This window comes from Homo sapiens, chromosome 1 (assembly GCF_000001405.40).
Source record: "Homo sapiens chromosome 1, GRCh38.p14 Primary Assembly".
Taxonomy (NCBI): Eukaryota; Metazoa; Chordata; class Mammalia; order Primates; family Hominidae; genus Homo; species Homo sapiens.
Genome location: NC_000001.11, coordinates 161,980,498 through 162,002,864, shown reverse-complemented (window position 1 = coordinate 162,002,864; position 22,367 = coordinate 161,980,498). Strand labels below are relative to the sequence as shown.

The 22,367-nt window shown below is 48.7% G+C and overlaps 1 protein-coding gene across 4 annotated transcripts in view; it reads left to right on the top strand.

Annotated features, from left to right (window-relative positions):
* OLFML2B (olfactomedin like 2B) overlaps positions 1-19,673 on the top strand; it is a 40,678-nt gene extending 21,005 nt beyond the window's left edge. For 2 of the 4 annotated variants that reach the window (NM_015441.3, XM_011509398.3), the window contains 4 exons: positions 2,527-2,752; positions 4,516-5,040; positions 17,885-18,061; positions 18,589-19,673. In NM_015441.3, the coding sequence (NP_056256.1) occupies positions 2,527-2,752; positions 4,516-5,040; positions 17,885-18,061; positions 18,589-19,190 (1,530 nt within the window). In that variant the 3' untranslated portion in view covers positions 19,191-19,673. Of the gene's footprint in view, positions 1-2,520; positions 2,753-4,515; positions 5,041-17,884; positions 18,062-18,588 lie in introns of all 4 variants that reach the window. The other 2 variants (NM_001297713.2, NM_001347700.2) reach the window with 2 other exon arrangements.

Sequence of the window (22,367 nt, the reverse complement as noted above, 5' to 3'; positions counted from 1 at the left end):
CCTACAGCTCAGGTGGAGGTTACATCACCAGCAAGAACAGGGAATTGAGGGAGGGGCAAGGAGCAGGAGTTGGGGCTGCCCCAGGCACAGCCGAGCATGTCGGCCTGTTTCCCCTGGGCAGACAGGGGAGGCTGGCAGAAGGATGTCCCCTACCTTTCAGGAGTCGGTCACCACTGTGTGCTGGGGAGAGAGAGATACACAACCCCATTGGTTGTGCCATCCAGAAGAACTCTCTTGTCATGAGAAAACAGGCACACGCTTGGGGGTGTCCTTGGGGGTAATGAGGACTCAGGGCTTTTTCCAGGCCAAATTGTAAAGATCAAAGCAAGAGCCTGGTTTGCTTCTTCCTGTGCGAAAGGAGCACATTGGCCGTGGTGGCCAGGTTCCTACAGCCAACATGGAGTAGCTAAAGGCCCTGCCCTGCCTCCGGGCACTGGGCATCTAGGAACACAGGTTTTGTTTCCACATGGGCTCTGCTCTCTGGGTGGCTTCCACCAAGGCCTAGAATTACAAGATTAAAGGGAGCTCACTCACCTCCCCCTGGTTGAGAAGGGGCCTCATGGTTCAGGGGGCTGCAGGAAGCCGCCTCTTCATTATCCAGCCACTGGAGTCCTGGGGAGAGCAGGGCTGGGCCACGCTCCTCTCAGGCTCCCACACTTCTCTGATGGAGCCACCAAAGCAGCTGGACCCACCTGTGGGGTGGCCCTGACTTTGAGCACAGTCAGTTCACAGGTTGTATGCCCAAGGTCCTTTGCTTTCAAAGGTGGGTGATTATAATCCTGGACAGGGAGTCTGGCTGAACAGACCAACACAGGACCAGAGATCCCGCCACACTGTGGACACAGGGGCTCCTCCTTGGGCAGCAGCTCTGTGGAGGACAGAGTGGTCCATCTACATGATCAGAGCTGTCACAGGGCACTCTCACAGCGCCATCCAGATGCCCAGTCACCGGGCCATATGAGCATCATTTGTTTTGACAAAATTAAATGCTGGTTAGTTACCAATGTAGATGATTCCTTGGGATTTGTTATGATTCAGAAATTCAATTTAACAAATATTAGGGAGCCTCAATCCAGGGGAATCAAAGATGAACAAGAAATGGTCTCTCTTCTTTCAGATTCCCATAGTCTACAGAGATAGCAACATCCCTAAATAGTGCCTGTGGAAAGCAGGCTAGGAGAGGTGCTACAGCAGAAGCACAGACTTATATTCATTAGGACTTGTGTTCAGCTTGGGTAAGAGACCCAAATACAGTGCCTTAAACAATAGAAATGTTTGTTGTTCTTTCACGTAAAACAAGCTCTGGAGGCAGGCAGTCCAGGGCTGGCATGATCAGCTCCAAGATGTCGTTAGTGACTTTCATCCTCAAAATCCCCTCATGATCACAAGATGGCTGCTCAGCTCCAGCCATTCTGTCCACATTTCAGTCCAGAGAAATGAGGAAGAGAGCAAAAGATGCCTCCAAGCTGAATCAGCCCCCCTTATGCAGAACTTTTCCAAATGCACATCCCATCAACTTCTTCCTATACCCCACTGGCCAGAATTCAGTCCCATGCCCACTCCCGTAAAACCAGGTCTTCATTAGTAAGGAACAAGAGGGCAGGGAATTTGGGTAATCAGTGAGAAATCTCTGCCATAAAGCACAAAATGAGGCTTGGGGAAGATTGATTAATTCTGAATTAGAAGGTCCAGGAGTATTTCCTTGGGGACCTGAAATTTTAGCTGGGCCTTGAGAAGTAGATAAATAAGTAGATATATGGGGGAAGGAGGTATAATGGCTATCCAGGCAGAGAAAACAGGCTGAACATAGATCCAGTGGCTCAGGAGAGCCAAGAGTTTCAGTAGTCAGCCAAGTGACTGGAGTGCCTAGGGCGTGGGGTGCAGGGCACGCAACAAGAGAGAAGAATGCTGAGCTAGATCAAGATCAGTTTTACTTTGGACTTTATTCTGTATGTAGGAGGAAGGGTTTGGGGGCTGGGGGTGATATGTGTTTTAGGAAGCCCATTTTGATTGCTGTAACAAGCTTCATCCTGAGGCGGTGTGCATCCTGGTCCTTGGGCTTCATGTCCCAGCCCAGGCATCCTTCCCCTCACATGGATCTCACCCAAAACAACTTACACCAGATCTAAGTCACCCAGCATCCCTAGGCCAGATCCAAGAGGAGGACTGCATTCTCTGGGCAGTATACGTCAAGCATAGCGACACTGATTCTGGAACCAGACATCCTGGCTTCAATCTGCCTTACCACTTACCTGTTGTGGGACCTTGGGAAATTTATGTAACCTCTCTGTGCCTCAGTTTCCTGAACTGTAAATGATCATGATAAAAATATGTCCTACCTCATAGAACTGATGAGAAGATTAAATTAGTTAACATATGTAAATGTATAAAGCACTTAGAACAGTGCCTGGCTCTTCGGAAGTGCTGCTGTTATTAGCACAGCCTTGGCTCCAGCCTTGCCCCCACCTGCCCACTGCCTCTCTGACCAGTGACCTGACCTTCCCTTGTGTCCCCTCTGAGGAGCAGTATGAAGAGCGGTTTCTGCAGGAAGAAACCGTGTCCCAGCAGATCAACTCCATCGAACTTCTGCAGACGCGACCCCTGGCTCTGCCTGAGGTGGTGAAGTCACAGCGGCCCCTGCAGAGGCAGGTCCACCTGAGAGGCCGGCCGGCCTCCCAGCCCACTGTCATCCGGGGCATCACCTACTATAAAGCCAAGGTCTCTGAAGAAGAGAATGACATTGAAGAGCAGCGTGAGTTGGGGTCAACAGGGCCGCCCCAGAGGCAGGGTAGGGAGGAAGTCACCATTTGGACCATAGTGGGCTGGATTCCTGGGAGCCATACACCCCTCCATACACAGCATTCCAATTACTGCTGTGGCCCTGTTATCCAGAGCTCTCACTGCATTTCCTCACAGCTCGCTGAGTGGCCTTGGGCAAGTCACTTAACTTCTCTGAGCTTGCAGAAGACCATATGGCAGAGTGTGGCTGGGCTGGAAGGGACTTCAGTGCCCTCCAGTACAGTCCTCCCCATTTGCAGATGAGAAAACTGAGGTTTGGGGAGACTGACTTGCTTAGAGCCACAAGGTGGGCTTCTCCAATACTTGCTCCTCCCTCCGGGGGCCCTGAGCTTCCTGTCTGAGTCTCCAGCACCTCCCCTTTGATCTCTGTCCTTCTTCATTTTTCATGGAAGAGAGACGATCCCTTTTCACATCACGTTTACCTTGTTTCCTTAGGCTTCTTCCTCTTCCTGTGCTCCTCCTCGCCTCCTCCTCCTCCTCTTGTCTTCTTTCTTTTCCTTGCCCAGCACTCCCAGCAGGCCCCGACTCTTCCCCTCTCCCCAGTATGTCTGAGCGAGTCCTTCCCCATCAGGGCTGATGCAGCAGCTTCCTGTCTGTCTCCTTGCTTCTGCCTTTGCCTCCACCATGTTTATTCTCCACCCAGTAGCTGGCGTCATCATTTTGCCCATGTGTTTTTTTTGGTCATTTTTTTTGTGTCATTGATTTGTGGTAGTTTTTTACATATTCTGGATACAAGTTCTTTGCCATCATATGTATTGCAAGTATTTTCTCCCTACCTATGGCATGCATTTTTAGTTCCTTAATGGTGTTTTTGATGAGCACATGAAGTCTACTTTACCAATTATTTCTTTTGTGGTTAGAGCTCTTTGTGTCCTCTCTAAGAAATGTTTGCCTCTCCATATTCCATCTCTGCTCAAAATCCTGCAGCCTCCCCCATTTCTTTCAGAATAAAAACTGAACTCCATACACAGCCTCTAAGTCATGCATGCCCAGCGCCTGTCCTCACTGTGACCTTGCCTCTGCTTCAGTCATGCTGGCCACCTCGCTGCTCCTGGGCCGCTGCACGCATGTCCTGCCTCAGGGCCTTTTCTCTGTGGTTATTCACCCATGGAATCTTTGTGCCCGATGGCTGCTCAGCTGACTCCTTCACCTCCTCCAGGCAGCTGCTCATCTCCCCAGCTCAATGAGTCTCATCCTCACCACTTTATTCTTCTCTGCAAGTTTCCCTTCCCTTCTAGCTTGTTTGACCCTCTTTACCCTACATTTTGTTCCCCATAGCACCTTCAGGTGCACAATCCTGTCTATTATCAAGCGTCTCCACCACTATATAGAAGCTCTGTGAGGTCAAGGATCCTTGTTTTGCTTGCTGTTGTTATCCATACTCCATAAACATGTGCTGGAAGGATGGATTGGATGACTCACTTACTCCCAGCCATCGGGGTTCAGGACCCATGACTATGCGTCCTGCCAGTGACCCCTGAGTCCTGGGGGGAGCATGGCTGCAGTCTATTCAGAGAAACCCCCTGGAAATTCAATGTCCTTCCACCTGCGCTCCTGTACACCTTCTTCCAAAATCCCAGCCAGGCCCCCTCTGTAACTCAAGCCGTCGTGTTAAGGAAAGGCACCCTCTAATTCACCTGCTCATTGCCATGTGCTCTTGTCATCTGTAGGTTGTTTCTTTCCCGTGCCACAGTGAACCTTGTGTTTGTTTCACAGAAGATGAGTTTTTCAGCGGTGACAATGGAGTGGATTTGCTGATTGAAGATCAGCTCCTGAGACACAACGGCCTGATGACCAGTGTCACCCGGAGGCCTGCAGCCACCCGTCAGGGACACAGCACTGCTGTGACAAGCGACCTGAACGCTCGGACCGCACCCTGGTCCTCAGCACTGCCACAGCCCTCGACCTCAGATCCCAGCATCGCCAACCATGCCTCAGTGGGACCAACACTCCAAACAACCTCGGTGTCTCCAGATCCCACAAGGGAGTCAGTCCTGCAGCCTTCTCCTCAGGTACCAGCCACCACTGTGGCCCACACAGCCACCCAGCAACCAGCAGCCCCAGCTCCTCCGGCAGTGTCTCCCAGGGAGGCATTGATGGAAGCTATGCACACAGTCCCAGTGCCTCCCACCACAGTCAGAACAGACTCGCTGGGGAAAGATGCTCCTGCTGGGTGGGGAACAACCCCTGCCAGCCCCACGCTGAGCCCCGAAGAAGAAGATGACATCCGGAATGTCATAGGTAAGTTCATTGTACCTGGCCTTGGTCTCCTGATCAGCTCAGGTAAAAGGCTGAGCCTGGAAATATCTTGAGAGGAGAGGGAGGCACCAGATGGTCAAAGTTCTTTATGGGAATGGCAAGTGGAGTTAAGCCTTTGACCAACGATTAGTTTTAACATCTAGGGTTTATTTATTGAAAATGTGCCAGTGGCAAGGGTGGGACTCTTTTTTCCTAAAATAGACATATAAATTAATGGAGTCAAGATTTGGCTTCAGGAGTTAGTTTTATAAATATTTGTTGAGGGCTATCCATACACTAGGCTTTGTGATGGCTATTGAGGTATCCAGTGATGAATAAATGAATTTTTCTGTGGTAAGTTTACCAAGCCATAAAAGAACAAAGGGTTTTTACTGGGGGGAAAGTCTCAGATTTGTAGTAGAGTGAGAGCAGGGGAATAGCTGGGGCAATGGGCCTCCGTGCAAAATCATGAGCCCCACCCATGGAGAGCATAGAAACATCATGGCACCATGTGACAAGTGCTGTACCAGAGGAATGGAAAAACAGAGAAAAGAAAGAAGGAATATTAGCTTGGCCTGGCTGCCAGGAAGGCTGGGGAAACTTTTCTAAGGAGGTGTCATTTGAGCTGGGATTTGAAGGATGAATAAGAGTTTTCTTTTTTTTTCTTTTTTGAGACAGAGTCTCGCTCTGTCGCCCAGGCTGGAGTGCAGTGGTGCAATCTTGGCTCACTGCAAGCTCCGCCTCCTGGGTTCATGCCATTCTCCTGCCTCAGCCTCCCAAGTAGCTGGGACTGCAGGTGCCCGCCACCATGCCCAGCTAATTTTTTGTACTTTTAGTAGAGACGGGTTTTCACCATGTCAGCCAGGATGGTCTCAATCTCCTGACCTTGTGATCCCCCCACCTCGGCCTCCCAAAGTGTTGGGATTACAGGCGTGAGCCACTGCGCTGGGCCTGAATAGGAGTTTTCTAAGCAGAGAAGGGAAGCCTCCTGACTGTTAGGTCTAAAAAAACAAGGTATGTTCCAGAAGCATGGAGAATGCAGCCCTATTCTGTGCCTGGGAGCTCCGTGGCCCAAGAGAACGCAGAGCAGTGAAATAGGAAAGTAGAGAAAAAAGGAACTATAAAAGGAAAAATGGGAGCCAGTTACAAATGTCTTTTCCAAAAAGAACTAAACCAAACATTCATTAAATCACCACTGATCATGACTGAAAAATAACACTATTGAGTAATAATTTCATCAAAATATTTGTTGAAAAATACACTTGATTTGACAGAAGATTTGGCCTGCCTTATACATATCTTTCCCTTCTCCCATTTTTCTTGCCCTTGGCAGCCTCATTCCCAATCCTTCCTCAGCATAAGGTACCAGCTGCTGCCAGAGACAGAGCGGTGAAGGAGTACCTGCCAGGAGTCAGACACTGCTCTCTGCCATTGATAGCTGTGTGACTTTGGCCAAATCTCTGCCTTCTCTGGGTCTCAGTATATGCTATGGTTTTCCGCAGGAAGTTTACCAGGTCATGATTCTGCTCCTCTTCTTCCATTCATGGTGTGTATGTGCCTCTCTCTCTGTCTCTCTCTCCTTATGGTGTTTTTTATTTGCTGTTCCATGCTATTGTAAATAAAGATTCTTGTTGGGTGAAAGTTTCAGAATAATGGCAGAATGACAGCAGTGAAATAGCCCATAGAAATGGACCCCAGGGCAAAATCTCATGAACGCTGGCCTGGAGGAAGCTAAGCGAGAAGGCAGTTCTTGGGCCTTAGAGGTGAGGGTGGGAGCAGGAGAGAATGTTTAAGTTTCTGAAGCAGGGGTCCTGCTGTGTTTCTGCAGACTGCCTTGGGGTCAGAGAAGAGGCTACCACTTGTGCACCAGCTCTGGGCAGCCTGGCCTTTGTGCTCTTGAGAACAGGCCCTGAGCCCAACACTCCATCTCTCCCTTTGCCATGGAAGTGAACTTCCCTGGGCCCCCATACTTCTACCATTTCAGCTTCCTGTCACCCTTGGGTGAGAGGGAACATCCCTCCAAATATTTAGGAATCTGGCCCCTGTCACCCCTACCACAGTTTTCCAGAATGCTAACAGTGAAGACAGGCTGCAGGTAGGACCCACACACCTTGCAAGCCATCAGGCAATGGTGTCTGCCAGCCTGGGAGCCTCTTCCGTCGGTGACTTGCTAGCCAGGAGTGAGTTGTTCACTCTCTCCATAACCTACCAACCTGGGTCCCAGAACCCAGCCTCTCCCCAACTGCCTCCCCAGGACTTTGCCATCAGCAGGCTTTTCTGGTGTTTTCAGGGACACTTATAACTCTTTCCCCCTCCAGTAGCCTAATTGAGATGCTGATGCCCAGAGAAGCCATGTGTCCCAGCAGCCATTTACCTGGTGGTAGGAATGACATTTTCTCTTGTTCAATATTCTGTTTAACTAGAATAGCATCATCATGCTGACGATGTAAGGTTTGCTTAAAGACTAGCCCGTGGCATTTTTCAGAGGAGCTGGGGTTCTCACCTCTTATGTCGACTGCAGAAGAAATAGACATGGACACAGATGTAGTGTGTTCTTCAAATGCCAAGGGGTGAGAGGAGGGGTGGCCCAGAGAAGAAAGCTTTGGCTGTCTAGGCATTGTCTAGCTTCAACAAGTTTGTTTCTGGGAATTATTTTCAATAGTTTATCACTGCCAAATGCCTCCCTCTGGCTGCTGTTGGTGTGGATGAGATTTTCATACCCTAACATTCTCTGCAGACCCCTGACTTGCCTGTGTCTGGCCAAGAAAGACCGTGATGTGATGACATCTCCCAGTCATCAGTAAAATTAAAAAGCTTTTGGCTGAAATAGACATGGGCCACTGATTTGCTACCTGGGAAAGCTTGTTTGCTGTTTGATGAATCCAGCAATTTTGATTTTTGAGCTATTTAAGATGTGGTTGTAAACAGCACTAATTTTAAAAGAAAGATTTTTATCCCATGGTTTCCAATCCTGATTTTGTGATGCCCTAAAATGTCTACCATTATCCTCAGGAGAGTTATAAAATGTTCAAAAAAAATCCAAAAACAAGTAAATTAGAATTCATTTTTGGCTGTGCAAACGAAACATTTGGCCGTAGTGTAGCTCTAGGACAGGGAGAGGAAAAATATTGTCAGTAATTGGAGCTGGGGTTTGGGTAGGATTGGTACCATCCGAGAAGGCGCTTCTGCTCGGGACAGCCCTGGCTTTGGGAATAGCTCAGGCTACTGCAGAGAAATGAAACTGCCACATGGCCAAGGCTCTGCAGATTCCCAGACTTTAGCAACTACAATTCCTGATGCATTTTGTAGAAGGGGCTGGTTTGGAGTGGGGGAGGGCAGGTGGCAGGAGCAGACAAAGAGGACAGTCAGTTTATAACAATACCAGAGAGAGCCTGGCTCCTATTTGAATCTAGAAAATACCATGAACTATGAAGAATGTCTCCCCCACAAAGCAGATGACTGTAACCACCCCGAGGCTTGGCCAGCTGTGCCGACCATGGGGCGTGATGGCCAGTCCTGCCTGTCTCGTGTCAGGGAGGCTGGTCTGGGGCAGCCCAAGGAAGGCGATGCTGACGTGGGCTGGGACAGCTTCCAGAGCCTCTGCAGAGCCCAGACTCTAAGTCACTAGACAGGCAGCTCCCCCAGCCCCAGCTCCACAGCCCCAGCTCCACTGGTCTCAGTCTCTTTGCTGATGCTCCTAACCCAACTTGCTCAGAAAACTGGAAATCCAGTCATCGTATAACACAGGGGCCTCTGGCCCTAGAAATAAGGATATAAAATGGATAAAATATACCCTTGCAGGTGGTAAAGGACTGAAGTCTAAGCCTTTTGATGAGGATAAAGAGTCATCTAGTATTAATAATTCATCTACCACTACAGCGTGCTCGGCTGCAAAGATCCAAAGTGAGCAAGAAGTGGTCACTTTCCCAAAGGTGCAGGGAGGCAGCAGTGACTGAAGTGGCCGAGCACATGGGAAGTGTGGCTGGCAACGGATGCATGCTGTCCAGGGGCGTCGTATCACTTCTGCCATGGGGCTCCTCTCTGAGGGTGTTCTCCAGCTCACCAGGCTCAGAGGGCAGAGAAGAACTCTCCAGGCAGAGCCAAGAGCATGCGCCAGGTTGGGCAGGGAATGGAAGGCAGCCCAGGTACGCCAGCACAGATGGGGTCGAGTGAGGGAGAGTGATGGAATTCCAGGGTAGGGAGCCGGGGCCTGATGATGAAGGGAATGAGAAGTAGGGACTCGATGCTAAAAGAGATAGAGAGGGCTCTAAGCATGGAAACAATATTCAGATTTGCTCCAGTATTAAGTGGACCATCACACACTCAGGATGTGTGAGTGCCGTGGGTGTCAGGGATGCAAAGACAGATACGGCAGGGGCCCTGCCCTGGAGTTGCACAGCTTGTATTGAGACCAACACAGACACATGACTTCAACGCAGGGTGGTGAGCACTGGGGGGCACAGGCCACAGTGGGTCACAGAGGGAGACTGAGGCAGCCCAGGACCCTCTTCCAGAAAGAGGTGCTGGCCTAGCTGTTTTGTAGCATCAGGGGAAATTAGCTAGGCAAAGAAGGAAGGTAGCACTGCAGTGAGAAGAACCAGAGCCAACAAGAGCATCGGGGCCCAGTGCAAAATGACAATGTGGGGCCCGTGCTCAAAAGGCAGGGGAAAAGTGCCATGCCGAGTAGTAAATATAAAGCTCCTCTTCTTCCATTCATGGTGTGTATGTGCCTCTCTCTCTGTCTCTCTCTCCTTATGGTGTTTTTTATTTGCTGTTCCATGCTATTGTAAGTAAAGACATACAGGCATGCCCCATCTTATTGCACTTTGCTTTGTTGTACTTCACAGAGAGTGCATTTTTTTACAGACTGAAGCTTTGTGGCAACGCTGTGTCAAGCCAGTCTACCAGCACCATTTTCCAACCCTATGTGCTCACTTTGTGTCACATTTTGGTAATTCTTGCAATATCTCAAACTTTTTCTTTATATCTGTTATGATGATCTGTGATCAGTGATCTTTGACAATTACTATTTTCATTGTTTTGGGGCATCACCCACCCACACCGATACAAAGCAGTGAACTCAATCCATAAATGCTGTGTGTGATCTGCTGCTCCCCCAACTGGCATTCCCTGGTCTCTCTCCCACTCCTTGGGCCTCCCTGTTCTGTGACACACAACAATATTGAAATTAGGCCAATTAATAACCCTACAATGGCCTCTAGGTGTTTAGGTGAAAGGAAGAATTCCACACTTCTCACTTTAAATCAAAAGCTGGAAATGTCAGAGCTGAGCGAGGATGGCATGTCAAAAGCCGAGATAGGCCAAAAGCCCTCTTGTGCCAAACAGTTAACCAAGTTGTGAATGCAAAGGAAAAGTTCTTGAAGGAAATTAAAAGTGCTACTCCAGTAAACACATGAATGATAAGCAAATGAAACAGCCTTATTGCTGATATGGAGAAAGTTGTAGTGGTCTGGATAAAAAGACAGTCCAACCACGACATTCCCTTAAGCAAAATTCCCTAATCCAGAGCAAGGCCCTAACTCTCTTCAATTCTATGATGGCTGACAGAGGTGAAGAAGCTGCAGAAAAAAGTCTGAAGCTAACAGAGGCTGGTTCGTGAGATTTAGAGAAAGAAGTTGTCTCCATAATGTAAAAATGCAAGTGAAATAGCAAGTGCTAATGCAGAAGCTGTAGCAAGTTATCTAGAAGATCTAGCTAAGATTGTTGATGAAGGTGGCTACACTAAACAACAGATTTTCAGTGTAGGCAAAACAGCCATCCATTGGAAGAAGGTGCCATCTAGGACCTTCATAATTAAAGAGGAGAGGTCAGTGCCTGGCTTCAAAGCTTCAAAGGACAAGGTGACTCTTCTGTTAGGGGCTAATGCAGCTGGTGACTTTAAATCAAAGCCAGTGCTCATTTACCATTCTAAAAATCCTAGGGCCCTTAAGAATTATGCAAATCTACTCTCCTGGTGCTCTATACATGGAACAACAAAGCTTGGATAATAGCACATCTTTTTACAGCATGGTTTACTGAATAATTTAAGCCCTTTGTTGAGACCTACTGCTCAGAAAAAGAAATTATTATTTGAGACAGAATCTTGCTCTGTCACCAAGGCTGGAATGCAGTGGCACGATTTCAGCTCACTGCAACCTCTGCCTCTCAGGTTCAAGTGATTCTCCTGCCTCAGCCTCCCAAGTAGCTGGGATTATAGGCACATGCTACCACGCCCAGCTAATTGTTTGTATTTTTAGTAGAGATGGAGTTTCACCATGTTGGCCAGGCTGGTCTCAAACTCCCAAACTCAAGTGATCCGCCTGCCTCGGCCTCCCAAAGTGCTGGGATTACAGGTGTGAGCCACCGCGCCTGGCCAGGAGATTATTTTAAAAATATGACTGCTCTTTGACAATGCACCTAATCACCCAAAAGCTCTCATGGAGATGTGCAAGGAGATGAATGCTGTCATGCCTGCCAACACAGCATTCATTCTGAAGCCCATGGATTAAGGAGTCTTTTTGACTTTCAAGTCTTATTATTTAAGAAATACATTTTGTAAGGCTATAGCTGCCATAGATAATGATTCCTCTGATGGATCTGGGCAAAGTAAATTGAAAACCTTCTGGAAAGGATTCATCATTAAGAACATTCATGATTCATGGGAAGAGGTCAAAATATCAACATTAACAGGAGTTTGGAATAAGTTGATTCCAACCCTCATGGATAACCTTGAGGGGTTCAAGTCTTCAGTGGAGGAAGTCACTGCAGATGTGGAAGTATCAAGAAAACTACAATTAGAAGTGGAGCCTGAAGATGGGACTGAATTGCTGCAATCTGATGATCAAACTTGAATGGATGAGGAGTTGTTTCTTATTGATGAACAAAGAAAGTGGTTTCTTGATATGGAACCTACTCCTGGTGAAGACAGTGTGATCACTGTTGAAATGGCAACAAAGGATTTTGAATATTACATAAACTTAGTTGATAAAACAGTGGCATGGTTTGAGAGGCTTGACTCAAATTTTGAAAGAAGTTCTACTATGGGGTAAAATGCTATCAAACAGCATCACACACTACAGAGAAATCTTTCATGAAAGGAAGAGTCAATTGATGCAGCAAACTTCATTGTTGTCTTATTTTAAGAAATTGCCACAGCCCCCTAGCCTTCAGCATCCACTCCTCTGATCAATCAGCAGCCATCAACATCGAGGCAAGACCCTCCACCAGCAAAAAGATGACGACCCACTGAAGGCTTAGATGATCATTAGTATTTTTTAGTAATAAAGTATTTTTAAATTAAGGTGTATACATTTTTTAGACATAATGTTATTGAACCCTTAATAGACTGCAGTATAGTGTAAACATAACTTTTATACTCACTGGGAAACAAAAAAGTTGTGAAACTCACTTTATTATGATATTCGCTTTATTACAGTGGTCTGGAACCAAATCCACAATATCTTTGAGGTATGCCTGTATTAAAAATTTAATTTACTAGCATGAATTATACAATTCATCTTTATATTGTGCAATGTTAGTTTTAAATGCAAATATAAGATCTTTCAACTTTTATGCAGAATCCACCAAAATGACTCATTTCATATTTTGTAACTCCTTCATACCTGTGTATGTATGTTCTTATTAGAATAGTGGAAATACTGCACAAAACTAATTCATCTGTTTTTGTTTTACTTGATATATGAACATTTTAACAACACTCCCTGCCTTCAGCTTACTGAGTGAGGAAGGACTAAAAAGAAACGGAACTATGAGTTGCCCTATCCTTCCCTCTTCTTTCGTATCAATTTCAACATAGGTTGTTGTCTAATACAGGGAAGTAACACAAGAAAGAATATGATAGGGTTCCTTGACCATTTGTGTTTCTTAGAACACCACTGCCTTCTTCCTGCTTTCGGAGCACGATCTGGTTCAAATGTAAAATGTGGCCTCTGGGGCAACACACCTACCTTGTGCTCACTTTGAATCTCACTGAACTCAGGCACGTAGTGGGTCTACCTGCAATTCTGTGCTCATTGGGCATAGCAAACCCTATATGCAAGTGGGGGACAAAGAATGTGGCCACACATATCTTGCATTCTCCTCTGCTCACAAACAGGCTGCACTGTTAGACTTCACATAAAATACAAGTTCGAGGGTGAAAATATTAAGATATTCAAGATGGTGACAGCAGATCATTAAATGAAGGGCAGCCCTTCAAAGCAAGGGTCCTGTGTGATTGCACAGATCATATGCCCAAAAAGCCAGCCCTGGGTTTACGGTGAATACCATAGCCCTGGCAACTATGGTGAATACAAGCAGCTAGGTGTGGGCAAGAGATCTCAAGCTGGCAGCCTGAGGGCCAAATTCATCCTAAGATGTGTTTTTATGTTCTTGAATCTGAATGCCTTCAGGTCAGCTCTTCCAGTTCACCACAGTGTCTTCTGCCACCTTTTGTCTCACACTCAGCCTGACTCATCATTTCAGCTCCTGCCTGACCCCTGTAGGCATCTGAGTTTGAGACCTCTGAATGAAGGCAGATGACAACAGTAAGAATGGTGATGCAGGAAGGGCTGATGTGCTAGGATGGGGACTCTGGGCTGCACTTGGTGGTTGGAGATGGTGAGTCATTAAGGGTTTAAGAAGATGTGCATCTTGGAAAAGCAGCACAGGGAATACTGGGGAGGATAAGTTAGAAGTGGGCAGAGATGAGCCAGAGAGACAAACTGGCGCAATTGGAGTGATCCAGGCAAGAGTTGGTGAGATCTGAACTACGCCATAGAGGTGGAGGATCAGGGTCAAGATGTTACTCAGTGCTGAGTTGGAATGTGGGTGAAGGGAAAGGGGACATCAGGGATGACCTAGGTTTCTGGCTCAGTTGGTGGATGGTGTGCCATGGCTTTCTCTGGGACAGTAAATACAGGAGGAGCAGGCTGTGAACTGAAGCAAATGATTTCCATTTTCAGTCCTTTAAGTTTGAGGAGCCATGAGGACATCCAGAAAGAAAGTGCCTTGTAGGTAGTTGGATGGATTCACGGTGCTCAGAATCAGGACCTGGGCTGAGTTGTTGGCAGGAGCTGAGTCTGCAGGAAGAATGAGGAGGGAGGAGGCTGAAGGTGGAACTCCAGAGGGTGGCATTTGAAAGCAGGCAGAAGAGGAAGCACTAGCCAAAGAGCTGGAGAAGGCCAGACCAGGCAGGTGGGCGGGACCAGGAGAGAGTGGTGGTGGAAGCTGGGGGAGGAAGGAAATGCCTTCTGAGGTGGGTGGGTGGGTGTCAGCGGGGGTGGGGGGTGGCTACCTCAGTTTCCAAGCAAAAAACAGAGGCTTGACTAGAATAAGAGGACTGGAGAACACCCCAAGGGGCAGCAGTCGGGTTGAGGGGCTGAGAGGCATTGCTGACGAGGTTAGTTGGGGAGCAGACGCCCAAGGACCCTACTGGGGAAGCTTGCCAAGTAAGCACCAGAGCTGAGAGCTGGGGAGAGCCAGGAAGGCTCTTGCTTGCTGATTTATTTCTTTTAGAATGCTGAGATTTGAGGAGGTTTATATGCTGAGGGGAAGGGCCCCTTCTTTTCAGACCCTGGTAACGTTTGAAACAGGACCAGCTGTCTCCCAGGACTGTTGGTTAAACGACAGAATACATAGAAAGTGCGTAGTAAATGTCAGTGTCACCGGCATCCTTGGCAGCCCTGCTCTGGGAAAACCTAAGATGAGATGCAGACTGCACTCTCCTGTCTGCAGTTCCTTTGAACTTTCTCCCATCTTTCTGTCATCCCCCTTGAAGAGGAGTCAACATACAGTACCTTCTCTCCAAAGCTGATGGTTTGCTGCCAAGTGTGGGAGCATCTGAGCTGCCCCAGATTCTCAGAGCACAGTGATGCGTCTGGGTCTCATGGTTTACTGATCTCTTCCCTTGATCCTGTCTTCAAATGCTCTGAAATCATTTGCATTTGTCCTGCCTGGGCTCATCCGCAGGGCAGCAGTGTTTGCTCTCTCTGAGGGCATGTGAAAATGCAGCCTGAGGTCCTAGTACTAGGACTATGAAAATGCAAGCGGGGACTCCCCTCTTCCTGCAGAAATAAGGGTGCCCTAACCCAAGAAGCTGACTCCATCTGTATCCATTTCCTATGCCTCCAAATTGCCACAAGCTTAGTTGCTAAAAACAGAAATGTACTCTCTAACAGTTCTGGAGGCCAGAAATTCAAAATGAGTCTTGCAGGGCTAAAATCAAGGTATCAGAAGGGCTGGTTCTTTCCAGAGGCTTGAGGGGAGAATCCGTTTCTTGCCTTTTCCAGCTTCTCATGGCTGCCAGCATTCTTTGGCTTGTGGCCACATCACTTCAGTCTTTGCTTTTTTCATCACATTGCTTCCTCCTCTCTTGTGGTCAAATCTCCCTTTGCCTCTGTGTCATAAGGATACTTGTGACTGTATTTATTCAATAGGACCACCCAGATAGTCCAGTATAGTCTCCCCATCTCAGGATTTTTTTTATGTAATCACATTTGCAAAGTCCCCTTTGTTTCCTTTTGTCCCAATCACAGGCTCCAGGGATTTGGACCTGGATATCTCAGGGGTATATTACTCAGTCTACCACATCATCTTCAGAGGGGACTCTCCATGCACTCTGGTGAAGGAGGCAGGGCATGCATTACAATCATTTTACTTCTGAAGAGATTAAAACTTTTTGACATTACAGTTGCAACAGACTTTGGAGTTGGTGGCTGGGCCAAGAGCAGAGCCAGGCCTCTGGCCCCAGCCTGGGGCACATCTATAGCCCAGCATTAGGGCCCTGCCACTGCAGAGCCTTGGTGTGAGACGGAACCCTGCAGGGATTTTCAGGGCTGCTGGAGCTGCACAGACGAGTCCTGGCTTTCAAGAGTCCATCTGCAATTTCTGTGTTTGGTCAGAGAGGTGGCATGGCCATGGTAATCCCCAGACAGAAAACACCTCACCTCATGGCCATCTGTGGGGCTTGAGGGCATGAGCCAGGGATGCCGCTGGACAGGGAATTGGTGCCCTTTCTGAGCTTTGCCAGGGCAGAGGATTGCCCGGTGATGGCAATCCTCATGGTGAGCTAGGGCTCACCTCAGTGCAGAAGGAGCGTGGCGTCCTCATTGGCAGCCAGGGCCCTGCTTAGCTCCAGGGAATGAGAGCTTTTCCATCAAATCTCTGCTGCCAGGGCTCAGTCAGAGTTTTCTGTTTTATTGTCTTGAACAGATGAGCTCAGCTCTGGGGGAATGAGGCATTGGCAGGGAGGTTCTTTTGTTTGTCTTATGGAGACTGAATCTCTCCCCGCTCCGTCAGACCAGGACCTAATAAACCCCACACTGAGCTGCCTAAACCCTGCCAACTGCACCCAGCTATGGGGCCTGCCTGCAAAACAGTGTTCATGCCTCTTCCATCCCCAGCTGCCCCAGACCCAGGGCCAAGGGCCCAGCTGCTTGCTCCTGTCCTGTCAGCTGCAGGGCTTGGACTCCTTCCTCAAACCACTGCGGGGAGCAGAGTAGATGGAACGGATTGGAACAGTTTGGAAATGAGGGTGACCTAGAATTTAGAGAACTCTGGAAGCCAAACTGTAGGGTCTTTTGTTACTTTTGTCCCAGGTGAGTGTCAAGGACCAATTATTCTCATCACCCATCAGTGTCGTCATGATGGCAGGTGGGGCAGGGGTTCTGCTGGCCCCAGCTGCCAGCAGGGGGTAAGGAAGCTGTGAGGGCAGCATTCATGTGGCTCTCTCACTGCCCCCTTCCACTGCCCTCTTCCCACCTCCTCCATAATCCACAAGTGTGAGGACAGGAAGAGCACATGCCCTTAGTCACGTGTGACTTCACTATCATTCAAGGCTATGCTCAATAATAATACTGCATATAAGCATTGCAGGCTCTCAACTTCATCTAGAACCCAGTATAGTTCCAGTGGCTTTTTAGGGCCTCTCCTGGGCACCGGATCCAGAGCCACTCAGAAGGACGTTGCTGAGTTCCTGTCCCATCGTGGCCGACTTGATCTCTGAAGGAGGCTTCTATACCCAGAGTCAGCTCCTTATTCAAGAACTTGGTATCTTGCCCCCCAGTTACCCAGCAGAGGGCCCTGGCATCCTGCTCCCAGTAGTGACAGGGGCTTAGGCTTGGGGACAGCTCTCTAGGACAGCAGGTGGGCCTCAGGGACATGAATAGCCATTGCTCCACTAGGGCTGGTCCCACAGCCTGGGGCAGCTCAGCAGCTGGCAGAGCCGAGTTCCTGGTTACACCCAGCAGAGGCCTCTCCTCTGGCCACACTTCTCATGCTGTGTGTTCACCCTGGGATCAGACATTTGGGTGCCTGCAGCAAGCCAGACACCGTGTTCTGAGCACTGAGAATGCAATGAGGAAAAGCCACATTCCCTCATCCCTTGGTGCTTACGCTCCGGTTGGGGGCAGGCGTGGAGGGAGGAGAGAGAAGCACAAACATTGTGGAGATGCAGGATGACATGCTCTGTAAGAGAGCAGCATTCATGGTACCCTGAGAGCTGAATGGAATAGAATAGAATAGTTCTCCAGAGGAGGGCATGATGTCATAAAAGGACTCTGGATCTTAGGTCTTTGAAGGATAGGACTGAGAAGTCAGAACAGGAGCAAAGCATAGTGGTGTGAAAGTTGCCAAAGATGGGCATGGTGGAGGCTCAAGTGTAGGGTCAAGTGTAGGGTGGATCAGGGGAGTAGCAGGAGATGGTGTGGAAAAATGTTTGGGGTCAGGTTATACAGGGCTGTTAAAGCCTGCCGAGGAGTCCAGACTCTAAATGGATGAACAGCAAAGGTTTAAGGGGTGAGGCATCACTAGATCAGCCCAAAACCTCCATCCACCTCTTCTCCACCAGGAAGGTGCAAGGACACTCTCTCCACAATCACGGGGCCGACCACCCAGAACACATATGGGCGGAATGAAGGGGCCTGGATGAAGGACCCCCTGGCCAAGGATGAGCGGATTTACGTAACCAACTATTACTACGGCAACACCCTGGTAGAGTTCCGGAACCTGGAGAACTTCAAACAAGGTACATGATAAAGATCCAACCCAGACTGCTCCTTCCCTTCCCCACGTCCTCTGTTTTTATCACAGCCAGGCCTCTTTGGGTGGTAATGACGGATAGGAAGGATGACACCTTCTTCTGATGGCTAAAGGACCTTTCCTTGGAGAGCGGTCCCCCTTCCCCACTCCCTCACATTCTCTGCCTCTCAGCTCTGCCCCTCCTCCTGAGCTCCTGGGACATGGAAAAACCTCCGAGTCCAGAAGACAGGCTCCCTTTCCCATAGCCCTTGACAATTTATGAACCACATTCATGTATATTAGCTCCCCGGATCCTTGAAACAGGCAGATGGGAATTGTCACTTCCCTATGACAGATAAGGACACTGAGGCACGGACAGGTTGAGTGATGTGCTACAGGATGCTAGAAAGTGGCAGAGCCAAGACACAAACCTGGGTTTCCAGACCCCTCGTTGATCATCACTCACTTAACCACATGGGCTGCCCACCCTCTGCCATGCCACTCTGAAGCCTCCTGTTTTCTCCCCACCTGCAGGTCGCTGGAGCAATTCCTACAAGCTCCCGTACAGCTGGATCGGCACAGGCCACGTGGTATACAATGGCGCCTTCTACTACAATCGCGCCTTCACCCGCAACATCATCAAGTACGACCTGAAGCAGCGCTACGTGGCTGCCTGGGCCATGCTGCATGACGTGGCCTACGAGGAGGCCACCCCCTGGCGATGGCAGGGCCACTCAGACGTGGACTTTGCTGTGGACGAGAATGGCCTATGGCTCATCTACCCGGCCCTGGACGATGAGGGCTTCAGCCAGGAGGTCATTGTCCTGAGCAAGCTCAATGCCGCGGACCTGAGCACACAGAAGGAGACCACATGGCGCACGGGGCTCCGGAGGAATTTCTACGGCAACTGCTTCGTCATCTGTGGGGTGCTGTATGCCGTGGATAGCTACAACCAGCGGAATGCCAACATCTCCTACGCTTTCGACACCCACACCAACACACAGATCGTCCCCAGGCTGCTGTTCGAGAATGAGTATTCCTATACGACCCAGATAGACTACAACCCCAAGGACCGCCTGCTCTATGCCTGGGACAATGGCCACCAGGTCACTTACCATGTCATCTTTGCCTACTGACACCCTTGTCCCCACAAGCAGAAGCACAGAGGGGTCACTAGCACCTTGTGTGTATGTGTGTGCGCGCACGTGTGTGTAGGTGGGTATGTGTTGTTTAAAAATATATATTATTTTGTATAATATTGCAAATGTAAAATGACAATTTGGGTCTATTTTTTTATATGGATTGTAGATCAATCCATACGTGTATGTGCTGGTCTCATCCTCCCCAGTTTATATTTTTGTGCAAATGAACTTCTCCTTTTGACCAGTAACCACCTTCCTTCAAGCCTTCAGCCCCTCCAGCTCCAAGTCTCAGATCTCGACCATTGAAAAGGTTTCTTCATCTGGGTCTTGCAGGAGGCAGGCAACACCAGGAGCAGAAATGAAAGAGGCAAGAAAGAAGTGCTATGTGGCGAGAAAAAAAGTTTTAATGTATTGGAGAAGTTTTAAAAAACCCAGAAAAACGCTTTTTTTTTTTAATAAAGAAGAAATTTAAAATCATCCCCCAGTGCACTTTTGTTCAGCACCGATATGTCTGGCCAGGTGTTGGATCCCGCTCCCGGAAGGAGACGAGGTCTGGTGTTCCTCAGAAATGTTCTCTAGCTGAAGTGGCCTGCGTCCAAGTTCAGTTCCTAGGAGCTCCTCCTCCCCTCCTGATAGGGGCTTCCTGGTGGGGGATTTGGAATGAGCGACCCCCGTGTTCTCTTTAATTTTGTGGCATTGATCTCTTCATTTTTCTGTCACACTGGCTTCCTTGCTCTGTTCTGCTACTCCTCTGATCACTTCACCCAAGGTTGGGGAACCCGTTCATTCATTAGCCCTGCTTCTCGAGGTCTGGTCTTAGGCACTGTTGAAAATACAAAACTGAGTGAGTGCGACCTTGTTCCCACACTTCCTTAAGAAGTTCTCAATCAATCCATCTCTCTCCCCTTCTCTCCTTCTGCCCATAACCCTGTCTGCCTTTTCCTGAACAAGCTCATTCGGCCAGGCTTTCCCTCCCACCTTCCCTTCCAGGAAAGGGGCCCCTTTCTGAAACAAGGTCCTTGAGGGAAGCACTTGAGGGATGGGGAAGAACTGCAGCCCCTCCCGGTGCAGGGCTGAGCCCTGTGCAGTGCCTGCTGTCCACAAGTGTGATTTTTTTCCTCCACATTACACAAAACAGGAGATAGAACATCTGAAAAAGCCTGAACAGGCATCTCCTGAGGTTATGAAGGAGGGCAGGACCCAGGGATGCCGCAGGGAGATCAGCACAGCTCTCCTGTTGCAGCTCCCCTCAGCCTCCTCCCGACCCCTCTGTAGGCGGCCTCACTTCCTGACCCCAAGTTAGAGGGTCACACCAGGGAGCACCCCCGCTGTGTAGAGAACAAGGTGGGGGGCCATGAGGAACAGCCCTCCAGGGAGGCCGGCTGCAGCTTGTCTGGGTGAATCAATTGGTTTTAGAGCCAAACTGCCCACTCAGGCCAGGTGAGGACACTTCTCAGGTTCCTCCCACATGCCGGAAGGAGGAAGCAGAGGCAGGGGTAACCGCAGGCCTGAAGCTGGGTGGTCGTTAATGTTTTCCCTGAGCACAACATCCAGGACTTCTTCAAGCAGCTTTCTTTTGTGGGGTTAAACTTTGGAAACACCAAGACTTAAACACCAAGATTTAAACAAAGAATGAGTTTCTCCAAAGCCTAAAGAGCAGAATCATGACCAGGCTATGCTCCACCTGCTGCCGCCTAGGGCAAGACCTGAGACCCGCAGCCCCACCCTTCTGGGCCTCTGCCCTCACCTGTAAAATGAGGGGGTGTTTCCCAGCCCTCAGACTTGCTGGCTGAGTCTTCTCCAGCTCTATAATACCTCGTCAAACTTAGAGCATTTTAATTGCTTGATACTGATGGGAAATATATTTATTTTTTTTCCTGTTAAAAGACTTCCCAACAGTATATTTCAAAAGTAGAGAAAAAATTCCTAACAATTTATCCTTTCATTCTTTTTACATTCATTGATTTATGTGTACATTTATTCATTCAGTAAATATTTATGGAGCCCTGACTGGGGATGGGAGTAAATAACACAAAGTCCCTGCCCTCCTGAAGCTTATATTCTAGACAGGGAGAGAGAAAAAGAAATACATTACGTGTAATGTGACAGGTGACAATAAAATAAAGCAGGGAAAGATGGGAAGGGAGGGGGTTGAAGTTTACAAGAACAGGTCCGAGAAAGCCATCTGATCAGGGGATATGGAGCAGAAACGGAAGGCAGAGGGGTTGAGCGAATCTCAGACCTGAAGGCTGTGGGCAAGCAGACAGTAGGGAGCTAGAGGCCTGAAGGGGCCCCACGGGCACCCCAAGTGAGGCTGGTGGAAGCACCTGCAACCAACCCAGCACCCTGGGCAGGAACAAGGTGCATTCTGCTGTCGCTCGGCATCCAACACAGTTGAGCACAGCTGGGTGATGGTGCGCAGGCCTTCTTCCTGCCTGCTTCCTTCCCCACCGTGAAGATGGGTGTTTGATGGAGAAGACCATCTCCAGGGGCTGGGTCTTAGTCCCAGCTCTCCAACTTGGCATTTGTGAAACCTTGGATAAGACCTCTCTGAGCCTGTCTGCCGTCTGTAAAAAGGACCACATTCTGTCTGCAAGAAGGGTAGATTCATGAAGATTCAAGTAAAGCAAGGCAAGTAAAAGAGTGTAAAACACTGGCCGTTATCACGGTCTAAAGTGAAATTCCTTAACTTGATTTCCCAAACCAGCTCCGCCTTTGGCATTCCCTGACGATCTCCTGGTCCCCTGGGATATAAGCTTAGGGGCCCTCTGTTTACTCCCTGCTCCCGGGGTCTCCATAACAACTTAATTACCCGGACCTCAGGTCCTTTCCTCCCACAGAGGCATGGTGGGACACAGTGGGCTCTCATGGCCAAATCCCAGCTCTGCCCAGTCTGGCTTATGATCTTGGATAAGACATCGGACTTCTCTGAGCCTCATTTTCCTCCTCTTTAAAAAGCGAGTAATGAATCTTTTTTACAGGGCTGTTTGGGGACATAATGAAACAACGTTATGAAACACAAGGCAAGTAACAGGCATTCAATACTCTTTGTTTTTTAATTGACACATAATTATATAGCTTTTTATTATGAAAACCTTCAATCATACAAAAAAATAGAGAGGAAAGTGTAACAAACTCCACATTCCCATCACTAAGATATGACAATCATCA